Source organism: Homo sapiens, chromosome 11, assembly GCF_000001405.40.
Source record: "Homo sapiens chromosome 11, GRCh38.p14 Primary Assembly".
Taxonomy (NCBI): Eukaryota; Metazoa; Chordata; class Mammalia; order Primates; family Hominidae; genus Homo; species Homo sapiens.
Window position 1 is genome coordinate 55,341,480 of NC_000011.10, and position 3,369 is coordinate 55,344,848.

The 3,369-nt window shown below is 37.8% G+C and overlaps 1 protein-coding gene across 1 annotated transcript; it reads left to right on the forward strand.

The window, feature by feature from the left end:
* The first annotated feature begins 1,721 nt into the window (after nucleotides 1-1,721).
* On the forward strand, nucleotides 1,722-2,708 carry OR4A16 (olfactory receptor family 4 subfamily A member 16). Its single transcript, NM_001005274.1, has one exon. The coding sequence runs from the start codon at nucleotides 1,722-1,724 to the stop codon at nucleotides 2,706-2,708; it is 987 nt and encodes a 328-aa protein (NP_001005274.1).
* The last annotated feature ends 661 nt before the right edge of the window (nucleotides 2,709-3,369 follow it).

Genomic DNA, 3,369 nt, shown 5'->3' on the forward strand with positions numbered 1-3,369 from the left:
AGGGTGGCAGAATTAGGCTTCTGTGGGAGTCTCCAGTGTGCATAACTTCCCATAGTAGACACTTCTGAAAACAACTGGGCATTAAGGTTATTGGGTTTCCATGGCATTGTGTGAGTAACTTCCCATTATAAATCTCCCAGAGTTATTGTTACTTCTTTGTGTTACTAGGATGTGAAAGAGATGTTATATTTGGTAATGTTTCTAAAATGTCTCTGTTGGTCATGGACCAAGTTGTTCCAAGGAACTTGCCTTATTACTTCAAACTCTGTATTTTGGCTAGACTGATGAATCACACTAGACACTGATATTTACTGTCACTCCCATATCACAAGGTCAGGAGATCAAGACCATCCTGACTAACATGATGAAACCCTGTCTCTGTTAAAGATACAAAAATTAGCTGAGTGTGGTGGCACGCACCTGTAGTCCTAGCTACTCAGGAGGCTGAGGCAGGAAAATCACTTGAACCCACGAGGTGGAGGTTGCAATGAGCCAAGATCATACCACTGCACTCCAGCCTGGATGACAGAGTGAGACTCCATCTCAAAAAAAGAAGGAAAGAAAATGACTCAACCCATGCTTTCTTACATTGAACTTGGAATTTATCCTTCAGTATTTTTTTGTTTTTAGTCTGGATGCTGAGGTTGTATTTTTGAGCACTCTTAGTACCTGAACAACATTATAAATAAAACTATGTTTCACCATTTTTTACCTCTCTTTTCATTGTATATTTTCTCCTCTCTCACTATCCAGTTCACTGTATGAGTTCTGCCAAAAAAGCAAACAAAAAAACCCTCTAGTTGCTGATGTAATAGCTGGTGACAGGGATGAGTTAGTTTAGTTCAGTTTAAAACTATGCTGAAATTAGAATAGTAAATGTGTTTGGAATTGTGGTATAGGCAAGGATGTAATGGAAACTCCCTAGAACTCGAACAGTCAGAGATTTTGTGGTTATTTATACTGGTAAAAGTCCAGTATCTTGAAATTTAATGAGAGATTAAAGAAAACTGTTTATTTTTTTGAGACATGGAGGTCTGAATGTTTAACAGTGGAATGTTATAGTACTATGTGAGATATTTCAGAAGATGGTTAATTTTGTTGCTACACAGGTCATATTGTAAAGTCCCTGCAACTACTACAAATGTGAAGGACTGAGTCTATGCTAATTTAGTTATTGCAAGTTTATAACTTTTTTTATTATACTTTAAGTTTTAGGGTACATGTGCACAACGTGCAGGTTAGTTACATATGTATACATGTGCCATGTTGGTGTGCTGCGCTCATTAACTCATAACAAGTTTATAAGAGTAAGTTTCTTGAGAGTGGGAGACTGTTTCCTGTCCATCAAAGCTGATTGGGGTGCAAAAAAGTAATATGTTTTAAATAAGAAGTTATTAAAGTATGAATGATAGTTGCACTTTTAACTATTTTCCTGTACAGAATACCCACTAAGACTTAGAGTTAGATCATTTATCTGTTGGCTGAAAACAAAATCTTCTGAGGGATATAGAATTTTCAAGGGAAGGCCTATTGGACAGTTTGGATGAGGAACTCAATAGAGACTTAGTAAACGTTTATTGAGTATAAATGGCCGTGGAAGATATAACGATGTAGATGTGCTCTGTGACATAATGGATGTATTTATTTTTCTGTTCACTATTTCATTACAGTCCCTGTTCTCCTGAGCTCTCATTTCTGATATAAGCTTGAAAGAAGAGTAAATGAGACCAAGCAGCAATGTTACAGAATTTGTCCTCCTGGGCCTCACTCAAGATCCTGATGTGAAAAAAACATTATTTGTCATGTTTTTACTCATATACATTGTGACAATGGTGGGAAACCTCCTCATTTGGGTGACTACTATTGGCAGCCCCTCCTTGGGCTCCCTAATGTACTTCTTCCTTGCCTACTTGTCACTTATGGATGCCATATATTCCACTGCCATGTCACCCAAATTGATGATAGACTTACTCTGTGATAAAATCGCTATTTCCTTGTCAGCTTGCATGGGTCAGCTCTTCATAGAACACTTACTTGGTGGTGCAGAGGTCTTCCTTTTGGTGGTGATGGCCTATGATCGCTATGTGGCTATCTCTAAGCCGCTGCACTATTTGAACATCATGAATCGACTGGTTTGCATCCTTCTGTTGGTGGTGGCCATGATTGGAGGTTTTGTGCACTCTGTGGTTCAAATTGTCTTTCTGTACAGTCTACCAATCTGTGGCCCCAATGTTATTGACCACTCTGTCTGTGACATGTACCCATTGTTGGAACTGTTGTGCCTTGACACCTACTTTATAGGACTCACTGTGGTTGCCAATGGTGGAATAATTTGTATGGTCATCTTTACCTTTCTGCTAATCTCCTGTGGAGTCATCCTAAACTTCCTTAAAACTTACAGTCAGGAAGAGAGGCATAAAGCCCTGCCTACCTGCATCTCCCACATCATTGTGGTTGCCCTCGTTTTTGTTCCCTGTATTTTTATGTATGTTAGACCCGTTTCCAACTTTCCCTTTGATAAATTAATGACTGTGTTTTATTCAATTATCACACTCATGTTGAATCCTTTAATATACTCGTTGAGACAATCAGAGATGAAAAATGCTATGAAAAATCTCTGGTGTGAAAAGTTAAGTATAGTTAGAAAAAGAGTATCTCCCACACTGAACATATTTATTCCTAGTTCTAAGGCAACAAATAGGCGGTAAAATACTGCAGTCAATTCAACAGATTCTGTAGGGATGCTTCTCTCTATCTACATAAAGCCATCAGAAAAGTAGTATAAATTATCCACTGAGACTAGAATAAATCTAAAGAGAAATTTGGAGAATGAATAAAATCACAGGTACTGAATAAAAGGTCTTGGTACAAGTAAAAATAAAACCAAGCTCACCTTGTAACTTTATTTTTCTCAGTTTATATTGAATTAGGACTTAAAGTTATTGATTATTTTCAAAAGAGAAAACACAAGCCACTTCTGTAGATGTACTTTTACCCAAATTCATGAGAAAGCAATTTGGCTAATACTTAAAACAGATTTCTGGGGAAAAGAGAGTTGTTTTTAAATCTTATTTTTTTATTATTCTATTAGTAAAGCAGCTTTCTGTGTTATTAATTTTGTTTTAAGGTTGCTTCCATTCCGCAAGTCATGTCTATGCATTTCCAGTTCAGGATATTTGGATGACAGATGATATTGTCTTTAATGAAAGACAGGATTGGCTAGGTGCAGTGGCTCACACTTGCAATCGTAGGACTTTGGGAGGCCGAGGCAGGTGGATCACAAGGTCAGGAGTTCAAGACCAGCCCAGCCACGATGGTGAAACCCCATCTGTACTAAAAATACAAAAATTACTGGGGATTGGTGGCAGG

What these genes read in the sequence shown, in the direction of transcription:
- OR4A16 (NM_001005274.1), top strand. Translation starts at nt 1,722, where the DNA reads ATGAGACCAAGCAGCAATGTTACAGAATTTGTCCTCCTGGGCCTCACT.